General features: G+C 37.1%; 2 long non-coding RNA genes across 8 annotated transcripts in view; one reads left to right on the top strand and one right to left on the bottom strand.

Annotated features, from left to right (window-relative positions):
- The window catches only part of LOC102724929 (uncharacterized), an 88452-nt gene that overhangs the window by 4307 nt on the left and 59731 nt on the right, over nt 1–24414 (top strand). For all 7 annotated transcript variants that reach the window (XR_930303.3, XR_428592.5, XR_930302.4 and 4 more), the window contains one exon: nt 22495–22625. This is a non-coding gene — a long non-coding RNA (uncharacterized LOC102724929). The remainder of the gene's footprint in view (nt 1–22494; nt 22626–24414) is intronic.
- Nucleotides 1–24414, bottom strand: part of LINC02578 (long intergenic non-protein coding RNA 2578) — a 65642-nt gene that overhangs the window by 16861 nt on the left and 24367 nt on the right. The window lies entirely within an intron of this gene.

Genomic DNA, 24414 nt, shown 5'->3' with positions numbered 1-24414 from the left:
TTTGCCTATGGCACCCCTGATGCTCACGTTAAGCACTTCCTGCCTGTAGTACCCCTTCTGTCCCTGCTGGAGTGCTTCCTGCCCCCAGTGCACCTGCCACTGCTGCCATGCTTCGCATCTACGGTGCCCCTCCCACCCCTGCTGGAGCACTTACACCCATGACCCCCCACTCGCCCCTACAGAGTGCTGTTGCCAGCAGTCTGGGAGCATCCTAGCCCATCAAGCTCAGGCAACACTCAATCTTGATGGGCTAAAGGACAAAGCTGCAGACCTGGTCCCAGCCACCCAGGGTTAGAGCAGGCAACCCAGGAGTGCAGAGCTGAGCCTGAGCCCCCTGAAAACATCCAGAAATAAAGTCATTCAATTACACCAAGCTTGCACCACAGTCAAACTCTCAAGACTGGGCATGATGGCTCACACGTGTAATACTAGCACTTTGGGAAGTAGAGGTGGGAAAATCACTTGAGCTCAGGAGTTTGAGACTAGCCTGGGCAACATAGTGAGAATCCATCTCTACAAAATTTTGTTTTAAAAATCAGCCAGGCATGGTGGCACATGACTATAGTCCCAGCTACTTGGGAGGCTGAGGTGGGAGGATCAGTTGAGCCCAGGAAGTCAAGGCTTCGGTGAGCCATGATCATGCCACTGTACTACAGCATGGGTGTCAGAGTAAGACCCTGTCTCAAAAAGAAAATTCAAGGGAAATAAAGATCATAAAAACATAAAACCAAAAAGTCCCATTGGAAGAACAGCAACTTCAAAGGATAAAGGAACATCAGCCCTCATAGAAGAAAAAGAACCAGCACAAGAACTTTGACAACTCTAAATGCTAGTGTCTTCTTATGTGCAAATGATCACACTAGCTCCCTAGCAATGGCTCTCAAGAAGATTGAAATGATTGAAATGACAGACATAGATTTTAGAATCTAGATGGCAATGAAGCTCATTAAGATAGATATAAGAAAAGATTGAAACCTAATCCAAAGGATCAGTGAAATGATCCAAAAGTTGAATAATGAGATAACCATTTTAAGAAAGAACAAAACTAAATTTCTGGAAATGAAAAATTTACTACAGGAATTTCAAAATACAATTGGAAACATTATCAAAAAAATAGACCAAGCTCAGGAAAGACTCTTAGAAGCGGTAGGCTGCTCCTTCAAAGCAATACAGGCAGACAAAAATAAAATAAAAAAGAATTTAAAAGAAGAATAAAACCTCTGAAAAATTTGGGATTATGTAGAGACCAACAAATGACTCATTGACATTCCTAAAAGAAAAGGACAAAGAGCAAGCAACTTATAAAACATATTTGAAGATATAGTCCATGAAAATTTTCCCAATCCCACTAGAGGTCAACAAACAAATTTAGTAAATTCAGAACACCCTTGCAAGATACTATGCAAGATGACCATCTCCAAGACGCATAATCATCAGATCCCCCAAGGTCAAAGCAAAGGAAAAAATCTTAAAGGCAGCTAGAGAGAAGAGGTAGGTCACTTATAAAGGGAACCCCATTAGGCTAACAGTAGACCTTACAGCAGCAGCCTTATAAGCCAGAAGAAATTGGGGGCCTATTTTTAACATCCTTATGGAAAAGAAATTCCAGCCAAAATTTCATATGCCATCAAATTAATCCTCATAAGTGAAGAAGAAATGAAGTTAATTTCAAACAAGCAAATGCTTAGGGGATAATTTACCACTAGACCTACCTTACAAGAAGTCATAAAGGGAGTGCTAAACATGGTAATGAAAGAATGATACTTGCCATCATAAAAACACACTTAAGCACAAAGCCCATTGACATAATAAAAGAGCTATACAATCAAGTCTACATAATAACCAGCTAACAGCACAATGACAGGATCAAATCTTTACATATCAATTTTGACCCTGAATGTAAATGGGCTAAATGCCCCCACTTAAAAGGCATATAGTGGCACATTGAACAAAGAAGCAAGACCCAACTCTCTACTGTCTTTGAGAGATTCATCTCACAAGCAATGACACCCATAGGCTCAAAGTAAAGGGATGGAGAAAGATCAGGTAAATGGAAAACAAAATAGATCAGGAGTTGCTATTTTTATACCAGATAAAACAGACTTTAAAACAATAATGATCAAAAAGGACAAAGGCATTACATAATGATAAAGGGCTCAACCCAACAAGAAGACTGAACTATACTAAATATATATGCAACCAACATTAATGCACCAAGATTCATAAAACAAATTCTTAGACATCTATGAAGAAATATAGACAATCACACAATCCTGGGGGACTTCAACATCCCACTGACAGCATTAGACAGATAATCAAGGCAGAAAACTAACAAGGATATTCTGGACTTAAACTAAACACTTGACCAATTTTATCTAATAGACAGCTACAGAATACTCCACTTGACAACAACAGAATATATATTCTCATCTGCACACGACACATATAAGACTCTAAAACTGATCACAGCTCAGCTATAAAGCAAGTCTCAATGAATTCAAAAATATCAAAATCATACCAACCACACTCTAAGATCACAGAGCAACAAAAATATAAATCAATACCAAAAAGATCTATTAATACCGTACAATAATTTATGGAAATTAAACAACTTGCTTCTCAATTACTCTTGGATAAAGAATGAAATTAAAGCAAAAATTAAAAAATTCTTTGAAACTAATGAAAACAGAGTCACAACATACCTGAATCTTTGGAACATAGTTAAAGCAATATTAAGAGGAATATTCATAGCACTAAACCCCAACATCAAGAAGTTAGACAAATCTCAAATTAACAACTTACTGTGCCACGTACAGGAGCTAGAAAAACAGGAGCAAACCAATCCCAAAGCTAGCATAAGAAAAGAAATAAACAAAATCAGAGCTTAACTGAACAAAATTGAAATGTGAAAATCTATACAAAACATTAGTGAAATTAAAAGTAGGTTATTTGAAAGACTAAACAAGATTGATAGACTAGCTAGATTAATAAAAATATTAAGAGAAAAGATACAAATACACACAGTCAGAAATGATAAAGGGGACATTACCACCAACCACACAAAAATGCAACAACAACAAAAATTCTCAGACACTATTACAAACACTCTATGCACAAAAACTAGAAAACATAGAAGAAATGGAAGAATTCCTAGAAACACTCAACCTCCCAAGATAAAGCCAGGAAGAAATTAAAATCCTGCACAGACAAATAACAAATTCCAAAATTGAATCAGTAACAAAAAGCCTACCAAACAAACAAAGTCCTGGATCAGATGGCTTCACAGCTGAATTCAACCAGAAATATAAGGAAAGCCCAGTACAAATCCTACTGAAATTATTCCAAAAAATCAAGATGATGGGAATCCTCCCTAACTCACTCTATGTAGCCATCATTATTCTGATACCAAATCCTGACAAAGAAACAGCAAAAAAAGAAAACTTTATGCTGATATCTCTGGTGAACATAGTAGCAAAAATTTTCAACAAAATACTAGCAAATCAAATCCAGCAACACATCAAAAAAGCTAATTCACCACAATCAAGTAGTTTTTATTTCTGGGATGCAGGATTGGTTATGTGATTCACTTCGTAAATAGAATTAACAACCAAAATCATGTGATCATCACAATAGATACAGAAAAATCCTTCAATGAAATTCAATACTGCTTCATCTTGAAAGCCATCAACAAATTAGGAATTGAATAAACATATCTCAAATAATAAGAGTCATCTATGACAAACCAGTGGCCAACGTCACACCAAATGGACAAAAGCTGGAAGCATTCCCCTTGAGAATCAGAATGAGAGAAAGATATTCACTCTTACCACTCTTATTCAACATAGTACTGGAAGTGCTAGCCGGAGCAATAAGGCAAGAGAAAGAATACAAGGCATCCAAACAGGAAGAGAGGAAGTCAAAATATCTCTTTGTAGACAGTATGATTCTATACCAAGAAAACCCCATAGACTCCACCAGAAGGCTTCTAGAACTAATAAATGACTTCAGCAGTTTCATGATACAAAATTTATGTACAAAATCAGTAGCATTTCTATACACTAGTATTATCCAAGCTCAGTCAAGAACACAATCCCATTTATAATGGCCACAAAAGAGAATAAAATACCTCAGAATACAGTGAACAATAGAGGTAAAAGATTTCTACAACAAGAATTAGAAAAAACTGCTGAAAGAAATCAGACATGAGACAAACAAAAGAAAAACCATTTCATGCTCACTTATGGGAAGAGTCAGTATTGCTAAAATGGACATACTGCCCAAAGCTATTTATAAATTCAATGCTATTCCTATCAAACTACCAGTGATATTTCACAGAGAATTAGAAATACTATTCTAAAATTCATGCAGAACCGAAAAACCCTTATTCACCAAAGAAATCCTAAGCAAAAAGAACAAAACAGAGGGTATCACACTACTTGACTTCAAACTATTCTACAAGGCTACAGTAACTGAAACAGCATAGTACTGGTACAAAAACAAACACGTCAACAAATGGAACAGGATAGAGAACCCAGAAATAAAGTCACACATCTACAACCACCCGATCTTTGACAAGGTCAACAATAACAAACAATGAGGAAATGACTCCCTATTCAATAAACGCTACTGGAATAACTGGCTAGCCATATACAGAAGACTGAAACTAGACCCCTTCTTTTCACTATATACAAAAATTAACTCAGGATAGATTAAATATTTAAATGTAAAGCCTAAAACAATACAAACTCTAGAAAAAAACCTAGAAAATACCATTCTGGACATCAGCCTCGACAAAGAATTTATGACTAAGTCCTCAATAGCAATTGCAACAAAAACAAAAATTGACAAGTGGTACCAAACTAAACTAAAGAGCTTCTGCACAGCAAAAGAAACTATCAACAGAGTAAAGAGGCAACCTACAGAGGGGTGAAAGTGTTTGCAAACTATGCATCTGACAAAGGTCTAATAGTCAGAATAAGGAACTAAAACAAATCAGCAAGCAAAAACAAATAGCCCCATTAATAAATGAGCAAAAGACATGAACAGACACTTCTCAGAAGAAGACATACGTGTGGCCAAAAAATACATGAGAAACTGTTCATAGTCACTAATCATTAGAGAAATGCAAATCAAAACCACAATACGATACCATCTCTCACCCATCAGAATGGCTGTTATGAAAGTCAAAATTCAACAAATACTGGTGAGGTTGCAGAGAAAGGGAAACACACACTGCTGGTTGGAATGTAAATTAGTTCCACCACTATGAAAAGCAGTGTGGGGATTTCTAAGAGAATTAAAACAGAGCTACCATTTGACCCAGTGATCCCACTATTGGGTATATACTCAAAGGAAAACAAATCATTCTACCAAAAAGACACATGCACTCATATGTTCATTACAGCAAAAGCATGGAATCATCTAAGATTCCCATTAACAGTGAACTGGATTACAAAAAATGATATATATATATATACTGTGGAATACTACATAGCCATAAAAAATAATGAAATCATGTCCTTTACAGCAACATGGATGCAGCTGGAGGCCATTATCCTAAATGAACTAACGAACTAACGCAGGATCAGAAAATGAAATACTGCATGCTCTCACTTATGAATGGGAACTAAAGGTTAAATACACGTGGACATAAACATGGGAACAATAAACAAAGTAGGGGGTAGGAGGCAGGTGTGGTGGTGAGATTATTCATATACACGAAGTGTCAGCATCATGCAATTTACCCATGTAATAAGCCTGCACATTACCCCCTGAACCTAAGATAAAGTAGAAAAATTAAAAAACACAAAACTATAAGCCTTGGGGGGAAAAAAAGGAATTTGCTAAATGTACATGCACACACACACACACACACACACACACATGCACACACACACAACTTGTTCAAGGTTACCTAATTCTATGGATAATGCCTGGATTCAAATCTTTTCTGGACAGTTCCAAATTTCAGGGACTTAGCATAATAACCAGTTTCTCTCACTTCTGTTTCTGTTCCTTTGAGCCAATCATTTGTCTCTGATCCTCAGTTTTTCTTCATTTAAGAAAAAATCAAAAGGACTAGGCATAATCTCTTAGCATTGTTTTGAGAATTAAATAGGAGCATGCATGTAAAATGTCTGGGCCATAGAAACAGGCTTACAAAAACTTGTTCCCTTCCTGATTCTGAATCATCAATCTTCTCTCTCCTTGGAGTTCTCCTCTGCTATCTCTGCTCCTCTATCCTTTCCTTGCCCTGCCCTGTTGCTTGGGCACAGATGGCAAAGAAGCCAAATGACACAGGCCGTGGTGACTGGTAGCTACATGTCTAGGGTCATGTAATTTCTTCATTATCTTTCTTGATTGAAAACAGCTTTTGTAAGATAAAGTGTCCATTAGTAAATATTGATGCTGGCAGGCAGGGCGTATAAGCTGTCAAACAGCTAAAATGAAGGATTGTCAGTTCAGCAACAAGAACATGGGGAGCCAGTATAAAGTAAAAATGAATAAAAGAGTTTAATGTAACTAAAAGAACAAGCAAACACTCATCAATGATGAACAAAGGCCAAGAAGGTCTCAGGTTGTTTTGTGTTTGGAGTGAGTGTACAGCTTCATGAAAGCTTATGCTCTAACGCGGAATTTAATTTAAATCAATTTGCAAAGGAATAAAAAAAAGCATGGTGCCTGTCACGTGCAATGTGTAGGGAATCAAATATAAGCAAGATGCAGTTTTTGTTTTTATAACTTTACTAACAATAAGGAGATAGTATAGTGTGGTTATGGATTGAACACAGGTTTCACATTGAGAAATATCTGGATGTAAACCCAGGTGGTATGACCTTGTGTTCCTTATGCAAATCTTAATTCCTTCTCATAAAATGAAAATGATAATGCCAGCACCATAGGATTGACGTGAAGGTTAGGAAAGCATGTGACATTATCTTTAGCCCCCAGTACATGCGCTCAAAATTACTGATTTTTAAGAGTGATAAGATATTATCGCATAACATTATAAAACAGAAAATTCTAGGAATAAAAAAGATAGGAGTTCAAAAATAACATCTGCTTGTTTAGATTAGAAATAAGGAAATGAAGCAGGGATGCTGAAATTGTTTGTTGAGGAAAGGTTAGTATTTGGCCATGATAATTTTGTAAAGACTATTAGATTCAGGGAGAGCAGCAAAAACAAAGGTTGTGAGGTTGGGGAGCTTGAAGCAGAGCAGCAAGCAGGAGACTTTTTTGTTTGTCTTTGAATATGGGGTGTGATGATGGGTACTGTCGGGGAATATGACTGTGAGAAAAATTTGGATCTAGATATTGAAGTCTTAGATGCTTGGCCAATAAATTAGGACTTCAATCTCTAGTAATAAAGTTACCAGAAGGTTTCCTTGAGCAGGATGAAATGTCATCATTTATTTTTATTTTTATTTTTTTTTTGAGACGGAGTCTCGCTCTGTCGCCCAGGCCGGACTGCGGACTGCAGTGGCGCAATCTCGGCTCACTGCAAGCTCCGCTTCCCGGGTTCACGCCATTCTCCTGCCTCAGCCTCCCGAGTAGCTGGGACTACAGGCGCCCGCCACCGCGCCCGGCTAATTTTTTGTATTTTTAGTAGAGACGGGGTTTCACCTTGTTAGCCAGGATGGTCTCGATCTCCTGACCTCATGATCCACCCGCCTCGGCCTCCCAAAGTGCTGGGATTACAGGCGTGAGCCACCGCGCCCGGCCGTCATCATTTATTTTTATCAGGCCCTAGTTCCATGTCCAATCTTAAATTTGTGTAGCATGCTTGCAATGGACTGACCACATCCTGTTTTCTCCATGCAAGGATACAATGAGAAGATGGCAGTGTGTAACCCAGAATAGGGCCCTCACCAGAACCTGACCATGTTGGCACTATGATCTCAGCCTTCCAGCTTCTAGAATTGAGAGAAATAAATTTATATTATTTATAAGCCACCCAGTCTATGGTACTTTGCTATATAGCAGGCCAAACTGATGAAGACTAATATTCAAGAGCATTGGTTCAGATGTCCCGTAGTCTGATTTTGAGGATCAGGTGACTATGGCATCTCAGTCAAATGATTTCATCTCTTTCTACCTCAGTTTCTTAATTAGTAAGATGGGATAATTACTAACTCACAGTACTATATGGTGATTACATGAGATAATATGCTGCATTATTTACAATAGAGACTGGTATCATCATCACCTAGGTCAATGAGCTATTTAATAATGCTTGGTAAAAGATAGCTATTATTGAATAATGACGGACCTGGGTGGTAGGTGATGATGATGCTGAATCAGTCTTTCTCCTACAGCTGGCACTCTACATCCAATTTCTTCTTTGACAATGGGTATTGCTCAGCTATGAACCCATGTATAACCATCACAGTTTACAATAGAATGGCTTTGGCTGAATTGCGATAGAGATACCACAGCAGGAGTGATACCACAGCTGGTACATCATGAGGAAGATCCTGCTGAGAAATTAGGTCCAGGGTGGGCAGATGCAATTATCAGAGCTCAGAAAAGTGTCTCCCTTTCAAGAAAATCACTGGTTAGTTTGTTGGAGGAGGAACACTCCCATTTGAAGTTTGGCTCAACTAGCCATGAATTTGCCTGCTGACTTGTCCTAGTTGTATCTCAGACAGTTGACGTTGTTGAGTAATCCTGCAATGTTTATCCCCATGCTACTAACTTTCTAACATTCATGTGAACAAGAATGGATCAATTCTCTATTACTTTCCATTAAACCAGCCTCCTTTGTGTCTAACCCTAAAGTCTAGATACAGACTGGACTCTATGTTTCGAAGTTCCTTCTGCTGCCCTGATTGGAGCTTCACGATAACTGCTAGAGTTTAGGTAGAGCATAGATTGTCTTCCTTGTAAGGAAATAAAAAATATAAAAGGGAAAATAACTTGTTCCAAGATACACATCCAGTTAGTGGAAGGCCTGGTGCCCTGCCCTGGCTATATGAAGTCCCTGGCACTGTACTGCCTCTGTATCTGCTTAGAAATATTTTTTTAAAAAACTATAGAGATGTGTGCAGACAAGACATATAAGAATATTACTCTCAAACCAAATCCTACTACTTGTATGGTACTTCTCCAAATTTTTAAAATGCTTTTCATTACATCTTATCTAATACAGCACAATCATAGGTTATTAGTCTTAATTCAAAACTTAGACAACCCTGAGAGAAAAGAGGGCTTGGGAAATAGGGCCTGTTGGATACCTGAGAAAGATTGGAACTATTTAGCTAAGAGAAGAGAAGGTGGATGAGGAACTTAATAATAATCTTCAAGGGTTATTAAAAGACCAGCTGTTACCCATTTCCACCCGGGGTAGTAGGGAATAAATTGCAGTCATGAGAATTTAGTTACAGCATTATAAAGAATTGTTTTTCTTTAGCTATAAGGTCTATTCGACACCAGTCATGTTACTAAGCAAAACTGTGGACTTTTTCCTCTGGAAACACTCCAGAATAGGGTATGTGTCCTAGTCAGTAATTCCTAAGCACTACTTCTTGAACCATTAAGATCAAGTCGCTTGGGGAATCTGTTAAAAATACAGATTCCTGGGGCCCACTGCAGAGCTACAGTCAGAATCTGGGAGCAGAGACAAGATTCTATGTATTTTATCAAGCCCTCAGGTGAATCTTGTGCTTGGCCACATTCAGAAATCCCTCCTGGATGTAAAATCAGTATAATTTAATGTATCAAGAGTGCACTGAGTGCCTACTTGGTGATTCTACCACTACTGTTAGATTCAGGGAGCAAAGATAATAAAAGGATACAGCACAATTTTAGTCCTTGTGGAGCTTTCAATACGATAATTAAGCACTAATGATGAACTAGAACAAATGTTTGCCTTTAACTTAGTGTGACTAAGGGAAAGTTTCTTAATTCCTTTGGCCTGAGATCCTAAATCGTTGAGGAACTTGAAAAAAAATGGTTCTATAAGGTCTTGTGAATTTTTAAAATAACATAATGCAGAATAAAGTTTATTTTGAAAGATAACAAACAAAGGCTGATACAAGTGTGAAAGGGAACAACAGGAGGGAGACCACTTCATCAAGACAGGACTTACCAGACTAGGCCTCATAGAGAACATAAGATTCAAACTTGACATTGAAAGATGGATAAGACAGTAGGACACATGAATATGTATTTGCGGGGGCTGCAATTTTGGAACACCCACTTTATACCAGTTATTTTCATATATTACAACATTTAATATCTGTAAAGACTTTTGTTGTGATTGTAGGGAAAAGTTTTAGGCTAGGCACTTAGGTTACTTTACAAGCATGATATGATTGGGTGATAATTATTGCATCATTCCCCAAGGTAGAATTATATAGGTTTCTCTGACCTCAAGAATTCTTTGATTTCCATAGCATAAGAAAAGATTTGGGGGAAAAAAATGAAGAAAAGAGAAAGGAGCGAGGAAGGACATGCTGTGGAGATAGAAAATAAAGTATAGGATACTAAAAGAAAATAAAGTACAAGATACTAAAAACTCCAATCTAGTTTGAGTACAGGATGAATTCTCATTTATATTTTATGGTTGTGGTTTTTTATATAATTGAATTTTACTAACTGACAGGAGGGGTGACAGGAGGGGATGCATATGGATTCCAATGAAGAATTTTTTAAAAAGGACCTCAATATTTCAAAAACAATTGTAACTGAACTGAATGTTAGTATAGTTATATTTAGGTAGTATAGTATAGTTAGTACCCTTATATATAGTTAGTCCAGTAAATGTTCAGGATTTTTGGAAAGGGCATAGATTTCCTAAGCAATTGAACACTTTATTATTAAATGGAGTTCCTAAAAGGTTTTTGTTTTTTATTTTATGTCCACAGAAAGAGAGGATTTTCTCAATTCCTAAAGGTTTGGGTTTCAGTAATGTCTGTCTCAAGTATTAATTCAAAAATTTGATGAAATGATCAAGTCATATTTATCTGTGTTCAGATGACACAAATTCATAAGGAGTTGTTCAGAGTAGTTGGGCTTAAGTATCAGTTAAACGTAATTTGGGCTTGGGTTTGGGCCCAAGAATTTGAATTTGAAGTATCAGTTACTTAAGCCCAGAACTGGGCTGAAGTATCAGTTAAACCTAAATTCAAATTCTTATTCTGCCACTAAAATACTTTGCAACACAATAAAAATTATTTGCCTTTCTGAGAGTTACTTGCCTCATTAATAAATAAAATAATAAATTAGTAAATTATTAATGTATTTGTATATTTACCTAAATGTACTATAATTTATAAAATTTATTATTAAATTAATACAATTTAATTTTATTAAATTAAGATGTTTCTGTTTAGATTAAATGATATAATATATAGATAGTCTTACATTAAACATGCATATCTTTTGACATGTAATAACAAAGCAACTTCGAAACTATTCTAAGAGATTAGCTGCTTCTCTGCCCTTAAACAGGTACCTTTTCTACCCTGGTCATCATATAAAATATTCGAAGGTAACTAAGTCATAAAACTCTAATTTAATAATTACTATGTTCTGTCCAATGCAATCTCACAACTTGGAACTAGATATAAAGTGAAAGCTTCTCTCCTCCTCTCATATAGGCCCTCTTCAGTCTAGTAGCCTGTAGGGGAAACAGAGCATATGGATAGCTGCACTCCTTTCTCTTTGTTTTGGCTTCTAAACATTCCATTATTGGAGCAAGCATTCAGGAGGCTATGTCAGGAAGCAAGCATAAAAGTTCTCATTGCACTGGCTGGGTATTTAGCTTCAGTGCTCTTTGTGCGTGAAAGCTGTTTAATGCTGTCCATGTCTCTCTTAGGTTTTTCTGATTCTAACAACCCTAACTCTGAGTGTCTCTCAGTTAACGTTTTCATGATGCATTTCTATTCTAGATTACCCCCTCTGACTCAGCCCACAGCCTTCACCTATACTCTGTTCCTCATGCTTCTCCATGTAACCCTCTTAGACACTGCTAGGCAATTCCAAATCTGTGTTCTTTATCTCATGGCCCAGAGCTAGTTTGTAGGGAAGGCCAAATATCCTTTGTTCTAATAAACTTGGTGGGGATGGTTATTTCTCAAACCACAGCTCTTTATTCTGAGAACATAGGTCACTTTATCCAGGGTCTTCACTTTTATATTTCTGAGATATGACTCAGGGGTTAGATTACAAAAAACATTAAATAAGCTCTTCAAATGGTTTTCCTAAAGTCACATGTATTGATATGAGATAAACAGGGCAGATTCCTTTACTTGTTTCCTGACAGGGGCATGAGACTTACAGCATATACAGAGCTGTCTCCAAAATTACTTCTTTAATCTTCAATTAATGAGTACTTTATAGCCTTAATGAGAGATCAGGGTTGAAGTATTGTCAGATAGATTCTAATCCACTATTTTGAAATGTGTGCTTCTTGGTTTAGAACCTTATTTGGGAATATACCTCAGTCAAAATTTGCATTTTAACATTCTATTACATATATCAAACTGATAATATAATATCTAGCCATATTGTTAAAAAGTAAAAGATTCACGGTCAAGTTCAAATTGCTATAATTGTATCATATTCTTCATCTATAAGAAAAACAGGCCGAGCACAGTGGCTCATGAGTGTAATCCCAGCACTTTAGGAGGCTGAGGCTAGAGGATCTCTTGAGCCCAGGAGTGCAAGACCAGCCTGGGTAACATAATAAGGCCCCATATTACCCCCACAAAAGAAAAACAAATTGTTTAAAAAACTAGCTGGGCATGGTACCATGTGCCTATAGCCCCAGCTACTAGGCAGGCTGAGATGGGAGGATTACTTGAGGCCAGGAAGTCAAGCAAGGGAAAGAGGAAGAAAGAGGAGAGAGAGAAAGAGAGGGGGGGGCAGGGAGGAAGAGAGGAAGGGAGGGAGGAAGGAAGGAAGGAAGGAAAAAGAAAAGGAAAGGAAAGGGAAGGGAAGGGAAAGGAAGAGAAGGGAAAAGAAAAGAAAAGTATAGATATATGGGCAGCTTGTGATGATATATTTTAGGAGAGGATTGGTGACCTGAATATTTCTCTGACAGGAGGTTTCAGGAAGAGCTGAGATCATGGAGGCATCTAATTTACTCCTCCAATATTAGGCCTAATAGTATGAAGCCAATGTAATGGCAGCCAAAAGATTGATATAACTTTATTAATAGCTACTTTAAAATTCCCACATTCAGCATGTGAATATTGAATGATTCAGTACTACTTGTATAAGAAATGCTTTAAGGTGCCTTAGTTTCATGAAAAAATTTTAATAACATTCAACTGGAATAGAGAGCATGCTTTCCTTCCAGTTTTCTTCCTTTCTTCCTTCCTTTCTTCCTTCCCTTCAGTGTTAACTTTCTTCATTTTCTCCCTCCTTTTCTTTTTTTTTTTTCCTGCATCTATTCCCTCCTAAATTATCTAGTAAAAAAGCCATTAGGTAGGCGGATCAAGGTTTACATTCTCCAAGGAAGAAGGTCAATGCCTGAGGGGTGTATTGGATCCTGAACGGGTGAGAAGAATGTTTAGGGGAGATGGCTGGTGCCAGAATGCATGTGTATGTAATTTCTGTATGTATATACACACATATTCTATATAACTTCATTGAGAGGTCTTAGAAACAGAGAAACCTTATAGCAATGAACACATCTAAGATGTACATCTTTGTCTTTAAATAACATTTTCCCCTACAGGGCCAGGGACAGTGGCTCATGCCTTTAATCCCAGCACTTTGGGAGGCTGAGGCGGGTGGATCACTTGAGCCCAGGAGGTTGAGAACAGCCCAGGCAACATAGTGAAACCCTGTGTCTACAAAAAATAAAATAAAATAAATAGCCAGTTGTGGGGGTGTGTGCTTGTGGTCACAGCTATTCAAGAGGCTGAGGTGGGAGGATCACTTGAGCCCAGGAAGTCAAGGTTGCAGTGAGTCGAGATCACACTACTGCACTTCAGCCTGGGTAACAGTGCAAAACACTGTCAAAGGAAAGGGAAAGGAAGGGAAAAAGAAAAGAAAAGAGAGGAGAGGAGAAAAGGAAAAGAAAAGCAAAAGAAGGAAGGAAGGAAGGAGATAAAGAGAGAGAAAGAGAAAAAAAGAAAGAAAGAAGAAAGAGAAGAAAGAAAGAACAAAGAAAGAAGAAAGAAAGAAAAAATAAAAAAAGAAGGACAGAAAGAAAAAGAAAAAAGAAAGAAAGAAAAGAAAGAAATGTGTGATCATTTGCACAAAAGAAAGAAAACTAATGATCCCTAAAAAGATTGCTGATTTCAATGTTGTGGAAGCAAAAGTATCAAATAAGCCTGATACATCTCAGTATACCAGAAAATACACAAGTGCAAAGAATAGTGGTGTGGTATAAAAAAGCGTAGTAACCAGCCTCAAGGACCTCCCAGTGAAATAAGCCTGATGTCAAATTAAATAATTATGGTAATGCATTATAACCATTGAGTAAAATAGGTACCTGAGAGTACATTCTGATATGTTAGTAAATAAATAGGGATAAGTAAATACCAACTAATAAATGGAGAAAGAAGGTTGGCCACAGGAAATCAACATTTGGCAACCATTGTAATAATTCATTTATCCAGCTAATATCAATGGATGCTGAAATTAGTGAGTGGAAATTTGATAAGGAATAGAACGTTTGCCCAGTCTCAAAATATCTCCCATATAATATTAATTAATTACAAAAGTAACTTTACAGTAGAGAAACCTGACAGAAATAACCTAAATTAGGCAATCAAAGTCAGCAGTGAGACAAGTGAAATTGTGTACCACCTGATAGGTTACAATGAGAACACAAGACCTCTTGCTTTATATTTTTGCCAAGGATCCATAATTTAAAACTGAACATAAGTAAATATCAAACAGATTCAAATTGAGTGACATTCTACCAAATAATTGGTCTATGATAGTCAAAAGTGTCAGAGTCATTAAAGACAAGCAAAGGCCAAGGAACCATTCCTGATTGAACAATACTAAAAGGATACGAAAATTAACTTCAACACATAATTTGGAATTGGGCCATCTTTCTATAAAGAACATTTTTGGGAAAGTGAAGACCCTTGAGAGGAATTGCAGAATTGGGTATTAGTAACGCATCCATGTTAATTTCCTAATTTTGGAGATGGTGTTGTGGTTATGTTGGAAAATGTTAATGTTCATAGGCTTTACACACTAAAGTGTTTAAGAGTGATGGGACATCATATCCACAACTCACTCTCAAATGCTTCAAGGAAAATAAAGATGCCTTTATACTACTGTTAAGATTTTTTTATAAGTTTAAAATTACTTCAAATTTTTAAAAAAGAGTAGAGAAAAAAAGTAAAAGTTAAAAATTACTTTCTCTGGTAATATCAATTACACATTTTTCCGACTCAACTGGTGCATTGCCTGATGGTATCTCTTACAGAATGATGGCAGTAGACAATTGATCAGCTCTTCTCGACTCTTCATATGCATGAGCTAATTCATATGCCCAGGGTGCTTTGGTAATTTGTTTGATTTTAGATACAGAAATATTAGTGAGCTATACCATAAGAGTACTGAGCCATGTGTTGAATGCACAGGTCATTTAATAAACAGGAAAAAAAACTACCAAAATACCATTAAGATTGCCTAATGTGGGTTAGAAATCAGATAATAGTTACATTTTCAAATAGTTGCAGCTCTTTTTGATGAAAAAGTGATTGTATTTATTTCTCTAGGTGCAGATGGTAAACCAATCGATTGAAGATTAAGGATACCAATTTTGATTCAAAAAGAGATAGTTGCCTAAGAGAAATACTGCTTTGTAAGATAGTGAGTTCCCTATAGTAAGATCTGCTCAAGCTAGTCTGTGGGATAACTTGTTAAAGATGTGGGAGAACAGATAGAGGAAGCAGAAATGAAGGAAAGCCTGATTTCTAAATTCTCCTCGAACTGAAATACTTAACATTTTATGATTCCCTGAGCAATGGAAGGTAGAATTAGACTAATCAGATGTACTCAAGGAGATAGAATCTTAAATATGAATGTTTGTATTCCTATTCATGAGCATTTCAAAGGTGTTCCACTTCTAAGATATAAGTACAAACTCAAAATATCCATTTTCTCTGCTATAGATTTGATAACCATCTCATGTTGATGGGCCTGACTTCAAGTGGAAGAAAAAAAAAAGAAAAGAAAACCTCCTTCTTTACTGTCAAAATAACAAACGGAATGAGATTTTAGAAGAACATTGACTGATCTTTACTTCATAATTGAAAGATGGGCCTATTAAAGGGACACAGCAGGCCTGATGGAATTGTGTGATCATTTGCACAAATGCTAATTTTGATATGTGGCACTTCATAACTGTAAACATAGCTTGGCTGGGTCCATATGATGTACAATGCATTCTTCCCCCAGGGGGCCTAGGCCTCAGCAAATCACTTACTGAAGGGCCATTTGCGGGGATTGAAGGATGGGGTATTCACTCTCTCTTCTTGCTGTGCTAATGGACAGAGCCTGTCTGAAATGGCAGGATGCTGTGCTTACAAAGGAAACCATCTTCTTCTCCAGATCAACCATCTTTCTGTGTACAGATGTACATATGAAGCCTGAAGAAAGTCATTTCCTTTCTCTGGCCTTAGTTTCTTCACTTATAATGTAAAGAATTTGGAATAGTCTAATGTCACTGAAATGACTCTGCTTGACATGTATTGTGGATTGAGAGAAATAATTTAGGCTTTTAATTAAGAGAGCCAAGGATTCAAGTCCTGCTCAGCCATTTGTGCAATCTCGAGCAAGTTTCCTGAGCTCGTTGAGCATTGCTTTCAACTAAAAACAAGTGAGAATAATAACACATTCTTTACAGGGCACTGGGTGTGCTAGTTGGGACACAGTCCTCAGTACATATTTGCTGCATAGCTGAACTTTTATATATGTAGCTTAATACACACCAATATGTATATGATTAAGTAATCAAATATTTACATTTGTGCACTTTTACCCCTACAAAAGTCCAGGAGGTGATGGGAAACATGGCCAAGCAATAAAGATGTGCCACAGGATGAATAGAATTCACTGCCCCAGATTCACATAGCCTTATCACCATAAGGCAGGTGTTATGCACTAAATGTTTGTCTCTCCTTAAAACTCATATGTTAAAGCCTTAACCACCTATGTGATAGGATTTGGAGGTGGGGCCTGGGAGGTAATTAGGTTTTGATAAAATCATGAGGTTGGGGCCAACATGTTATTTGTATCCTTATAAGAAGAAGAAGAAGCCAGAGTTCTCTCTCTTTTTGTCATGTAAAGTCACAATATGAAGGCAACCATCTGCAAGCCAGGAAGAAGGATCTCACAAGGAATTGATTCAGCTGGCATATTGATTTTAGACTTCCAAGCCTCTAGAATTGTGAGAAATAAATGTCTATTGTTTAAGCCATTCAGTTTATGGTACTTTATTATTGCAGCATGAGCTGACTAAAACAACAAATACTCAGTAAATGTTTGTCAAATAAACACATGAATAAAAGTACCACATCCCAACCCTCACATCCATAAATGAAAGTCCATAGTGTTAACTAAAATTGTAAAAAAATAAATTTTTTAATAAAGATATGCTAACATGCCATCTGCCTTCTATGTATGCAGGTTTTTCTTTTCTTCCTCCTCCTCCTACTCCTTTTTCTTCCTCCTCCTCCTTCTTCCTAGTTCTATCTGGTTTGTTATAATAGCAATGGAAGGAATATTTCTCATGCAGTGCTCTGAGCTCAGATCCATTTAGCTTTGTATGGAAAGGTCTGTAGGTCTGTGTGCAACCTTAATGTAGGTTTCTTATAAGCATTCACTGAAGTAAATTAATCAGAGACTTGCCTTGGTCACACATAGAAAGCCTCTATGAAACCCAATGGGGAATGTAAATTTGGTTGTGGAACCTGAAAGCATATACATTTTGTAAAATCCATCTCAAATTCTTTTGGGAAAGATAATGAACTAAAATATTGGGAAATGCTACAATTTTCTCAAGCAAGAAATAAGAGAATTGAATAAGTTGGAAAGAATGGACTTCTAATAAATGGTACAGTATTTGATGTTTTAAAAAAATCAAATAAAAGGCCACAAATTGAATAAAATAGTTTTTTGTTAATGGTGAAACTTGCAGGGCCAGTTAGAGCTTATTAAAAGGTGATGGGAACTATGCAGATTAGATCAAGTTTGGTAATTGGCTGGTTCTGAATCCATTAGAAAGGTTATAGGGCTGTTTGGGTGGGTTATATTTTATAAATGGATGATTAGAAGTATATTAATGGGCCAAAGGGTTATAAGGATGGGATTGGTTTAGTAATATAATGTCTGGGATAACATTAGACTGGAGGCAAGGTTATATGGATAGAATTAGATTTGGGGAATAGGTCAGTTATGACCATATTAGATGGGTTATGGGGTTGTTTGAAAAAGTGTCCTTTGTTTAATGGCAGTGAGAAAACAAGTATCTAATTAGACTTCCTGTGCATCTGTGGCACTTCTAATACTCTGGTGCCTTTATACGTAGAAATTACCCTCCAAAATATATGTGAGATCTTGGTCAAGATCTTACTAAGAGTTCAGGTGTCAAGCCAAGCCACTAATTCCTAGCAGAGTCTGGTTTTCACTGGCATGTTACCAAAATATAAAAAATGCATACTGGGAAAATAGAAAGCATGAGATTATGTCAATATTTCTCAAAAGTGGGTTCAAGAGGAGATAACATTTGAGCAGGGTCACGGCAAGTTGAATACATACTTGTCACAGAGATGGTAATAGGAGATTGAAAAGGCAGAGTCTAGGAAGAGGGTGTTCTATGAAAACATGTGGGCATGATAAACAAACCAATGCCTTCGAGGAGCTCAGACAGCCTGTGTGCATCTGTGTTGGAGAGAGGGGAATAAAAGAAGGAGGGCTGTACAGATGTGTGTATTTGTGTTTGCAGTAAATGATAAGAAAAGGTAAGATGACAGGGGCTGAAGTTTGAGGGAAGAGTGTATAATTTATAAACTTTGTTAATTATAAATGTGAACTTCATCCTTTCCACAAGTCTACCCCCAAATGTATTCCACAGCAAACAAATATCATAAATACACAAGAAAACAATAAAAAATGAGGATTCTGTGGTCAAATATGTTTGTTAATGCTGTTTTAAATTCTTAGCATCTGCCACTTCTAACATGTTTAACTCACATTAGAAACTTAAAGGTTGTGGCCAGGCGCAGTGGCTCATGCCTGTAATCCCAACAGTTTGGGAGACAGAGGCAGGCAGATCACTTGAGGCTAGGAGTTCAAGACCAGCCTGGCCAACATGGTGAAACCTGTTCTCTACTAAACGTACAAAAATTAGCCGGGTATGGTGGCTCACACCTGTAGTCTCAGCTACTCCAGAGGCTGAGGAGAGAGAATGGTTTGAACCCGGGAGGCTGATCACACCACTGCACTCCAGCCTGGGTGACGGAGTGAGACTCTGTCTCAAAAACAAACAAACAAACAAACACTAAACTTAAATGTGGTGAGGAGTTCTGCAGTTACAAAAATATGATTCCTTGCCTTCTCTAACCCACCATGTTTTAAGATTCTGGGATTATAGATACCTGTTACCTATTCCAACATCCAACAGAATGGTTATTAATATTCCTTTGCATAAATGTTCTAAGGAATATACTGTTGGAAAACATTAGTCTAAGAAAAGGGAAGCTGTTCAAAGAAAGGCTAAGTATACTTAATTTTCTCACTTTAAAAAGAAGACAGAATGATACAGAAAGTTAACTTACTGCAAAGAAAATGGGAAAAATATTGATATTGTAGTAGAATAGTTAATTTGAATTATCTATTCCTAAATGGGTATATGACCTTTAGAAAACTTGATCTCTGTGTGTCTCAGTTTTCTTAAGTATATGATTGGGATAACAAAGGGATTTAAGAGCACTAGATAAGATAATGCTTGTAATGATGAACAGTGTCTGGTAAGTAGTGAGAACTTGATTAATATTAAAAGTTGCAAAAATTCTAACCTTCCCCACAGTCTCAGGTATTCTGGCATGCTCAGTTTAGCCTCATGTTCCTAGGTACAAGTGTAGGAGCTCCTCCTCAGTTTAAGTCCTGGGCTTCCTTTTAATCTACTGTCATATTTGGAAGCATTATAGTGAGATATTTTTACCAGGTACACCAAGGGTGGTAGATTAAAGCTCATGGATTGGGCATCAGTTATCTTCTTGGCTGTTGGATAGTAAGCATACTTGATATAAATGGAAGGAGATGCTCCTATGATTAGTCTAAACATCTAACTGGTACAAGAATCAGGATTTTGAGTTGTAAGCATCCTAAATCACATGAGGAAGGAGCCACCAGCTAACAACGTCATTGTGCCAATACGGCTACTGATCTTAAATATTGGGCTTCTAGGAAATCTTTGCCCAACCTCCATGCTCACTTCTTCCTGGACAGTCATTCCACTTGGAATCTATTGTGTCAGTTCCGAACATTTGCCTGATATTCAGACTTCCTAAATATCCCTCCCTGTCTTCACCAAGCCTCTTGGCCAAGAAATTTTATAAATTCAAAAATGTTATGTATATTTTTTCTATTTATTTCTCAATATTACCTTTGGCAAGTAATCAAACAGAGCCTGGACGTAAACCAAGTTAAGATAATTAATAATAGCTGAAGTGTTTTTCCCCTTCTTTCAGGGACTGGCGGAATTACTCTTAAGAAGAAATAAGAAACAAAACCAAAAACAGTCTGATCTCTGTTTCTTGGGGGGAGTGATGGGGTTCTGAAATCTGTTCTAAGTCAGTTTTCTGCCCATTTCTATTTCTCCATGATTTCTACTCTAGGGCAATAAGGAAACAGTTAAGTTTCCATATCGGGATAAAAATTTGAATCTCAACTCACTATTGTTATGCTGGGTGCAATAATACAGAAGCAAAATTGGTTTACTCTTAGATCTTAAATGTAGACCTTAAATGTTCTTACCACAAAAGAAAGAAAGAAAGAAAGAAAGAAAGAGAGAGAGAGAAAGGAAGGAAGGAAGGAAGGAAGGAAAGAAGAAAGAAAGAGAGAAAGAAACAAAGAAAGAAAGAGAAAGAAAGAAAGAAAAAGAAAAGAAAGAAAGAAAGAAAGAAAGGAAGGAAGGAAGGAAAGAAAGAATATATGGATTACTTTCACCTTTCTTTCCCTCTTGCCTTCCTTTTTCTTTTCTTCCTTCACATCTGTCTTGCATTTTCCTCTCTTTCTTCATGGAAACCCTATTGATGTCAGTTGCTTTTCTCTCTGGTACCCTCAACAATATTTTACACACAGTTCCCTTTTGCTTAGGTTGTATTTTTGTTTTATTTAAAGTTTGATTTGGTACAGAAAAAAATATTCACATTTAACAAGCTAAAACAGCCAAATAAAATTTACTGCAACTTTTGTAGAATTTAATTTGTGCTACAAGACGTTACATTTTTTTTTCTTTTTCTTTCTTTTTTCTTTTTTTTCTTTTTTTTTTTTAAGATGGAGTCTCGCTCTGTCACCCAGCTGGTGTGCAGTGGCGCAATCTCGGCTCACTGCAAGCTCCGCCTCCCGGGTTCAAGCTGTTCTCCTGCCTCAGCCTCTTGAGTAGCTGGGATTACAGGCGCCCGCCACCAAGCCCCACTAATTTTTTTTATTTTTAGTAGAGATGGGGTTTCACTATGTTGACCAGGTTGTTCTTGAACTCCTGACCTTGTGATCTGCCCGCCTTGGCCTCCCAAAGTGCTGGGATTACAGGCGTGAGCCACCGCTCCCGGCCAAGACATGTTATGTTTTTTCTTACTGAAGATTTAATGATTAAATGTGTGTCCCTCCAAACTTCAAACTACTTCAAGAGGACAACGTTGCCTTATTCTTCTGTCTGTCCCTTTTCTGGTCCATGGTTCAGTGCTGAATAACTGTTTGACAAATGATTGCTGGATGGATATGAAAATGAATGAAAGTATTTCTTCAAATCTCAGCTATGAGCATCACACTACGCACCATTTTACAAGAGGGCTGAAGCAGTTTATCTTTATTGTCCATTCCAATTAAGACATGTTGTCTGTGGTTAAAAACAAACAAGCAACAAAACTATAAATAACCTTCAGATGAATTCATTCAGTAACCTGGCTTTATTTCCTTGTAAAAGTCAATCTAACAGATTTTTTTCTTTTTAATATTTAAAAATAAAGCTTGATTTGTAGGCTGAGTCTGGGGCTCTGGTGAGTTCCTTTCATTGTTAGAAACCTGTGAAAACAAGGGGTTTAGATGAGGACAACTGACAGATCCTTCACTATGAAATCACAAATGGGCACCATCATAATAATCAGGCGTATTTATAAATCAGAAACAACTTTCCCAGCAAGACTGCTTTACCTCACCTCCCACTGCATGACTGCTCCTTTCCAGGGCTGTCAACTTGCACTCCTATTGCTAATTAACTCACCACTCAAAGCAGGTGAACAGCTAAAGGAAAGAGCCCTCAATTTTTCCTTCCTGTGTTCATTCCCCCTTCAGGTCCCTGGACTTTGGGACTCATTCTGCTCGACTTGATCCCTGCTCTGCCCATTGATCACATACACACGTTTACACCTGGCAGAAGAGGAAGAGGAGGCATGAAGGAATGGCCTCTTCAGAATGGAGAAAAGGTAGGAATCATCTGGGATTTTTACCAGAGAGAACCCCTTAGGCTGACTCAGGAGTTGAACTGAATGTGAAAGAGACCAAGTAGGAAAGCCAATAAATATACTACAAAGCTTCCCAAGAAAACATCACCATAGCATTCTCAACACAGATTATCTTCCCATTAGAGGATATTTTCCACTGGGAAATATATAAATCCACCCAACTATCCATGTGTACAAGAAAGTGACTTTATCAGCCGTCCACTTTTCTCCATGTCTAGAACCATGTCTCTAGATTAAATCACCATGGTCTCTCGGTTTAATTGCTTTAACAGCCTCCTTCTCCAGAATGCAGCCATCACAACTGGTTTGTAGAAATGGAATTCCACTTTGTATTTCCACTTAACATCCCTGTTGGTTAAACTCTTTTTCCCATTAATTTTAAGATAAAATTCTAAGGCATAATAGTCTATGGTACCCTGCATGGCCTTGCCCCTGTTTAACTTTCTAGCCCCCTTCTGTTCTACTTTGCACTAGTTTTCAGCATAAAACAAACTTTGTCGTGCTTCAGGCCCTCCATACAGGTTACTCCTTCTGCCTGAAACCTTCTTCCTCCCACCTTTACCTGAAATCTGGCTTATCCTATCAACTAAAGCCTAGATTTCACTTTTTTTGTCAGCAACATTTCATTCTATTGACAACCCGTACCCACCAATACAAATCAGTCTCCCAGTTATACTCTGACATTTCAGCTTTTACCTTTCTGCATAATATTGATCATAATTTGTACTTATATGTATATCTACAGATATATAAATATTTATCTCTTTCACTAGACCAGTGAATCAGCCAGAGTTGATTTTTCCCTCCAGGGGAGATTTGCCAGTGTTTGAGGTTATGTTTTGCTGTTAAAATTGTGTGCCAGGGAATATTACTGGCATCTAGTTGGTAGAGGCCAGGGATGCTTATAAGCATCCTATCATGCACAAGACACTTTCTCACAATACAGCATTACCCAAACCAAAATGGCAACAGTGTCAATATTTGAGAAACCATGGCCTAGACTGTAAGCACCATGATCTAGGGGGAAGCCACGCCTTCCTTAAACATTCCCATTTCCCCAGGGCCTAGACTTTACTTGATATATATTGTGCTTAATAGATGTTGATTGGATGAACACATATTCCTTATCACAAATACAGGCTAATCATTTACTGATTTATCATTTACTGAGCGTCAATGGTATATCAGGCCATGTATTTGTCATTGATACTATAATAATACAAGAGTCCATATTATCAGCAGCCTTAAATTATGAAAGAGGAATGAAAAAGTGAGCAATTGATTGAAATTGGGAAAAATTGTAATGCACCGCATAGTATAAAAAATTAGTTTACTTATTGAAGTAGCACAAAGGATGTTTAAAAGAAAAAGTAACATCCTTCATTCACTTAACAAATATTCATTGAAGGCAAATGTTGGAAGGTATCAATGAACAAGACAAGTAAGACCCTTGTCCTAATGGAATTTATATTCTAAAGGAAAAGACATATAGTAAAAGGAACAGTGTAAATCAACAAGATCATTACAGGTGAACTATGTGCTCTGAAAACAATAGGTAAGATGATGAGTTAAAGTATAGCAGAGAGAGTACACTTTAAATAGAATAATTAGAGAAATTACCTCTGAGGACATCGTATTTTGCATGAGGTTTGAATACTACAAATTGGGCAGATGTACAAAAAGATATATAAACTCACTTTCCAAACAAATTAAACAACATATGTAACATATGTAAAAAAGACCTTTGAAT

The sequence above is a fragment of the Homo sapiens genome, chromosome 9, assembly GCF_000001405.40.
Source record: "Homo sapiens chromosome 9, GRCh38.p14 Primary Assembly".
Lineage (NCBI taxonomy): Eukaryota > Metazoa > Chordata > Mammalia > Primates > Hominidae > Homo > Homo sapiens.
The sequence above is the reverse complement of the archived record's forward strand: the minus strand, read 5'-3'. Positions and strand labels throughout refer to the sequence as shown.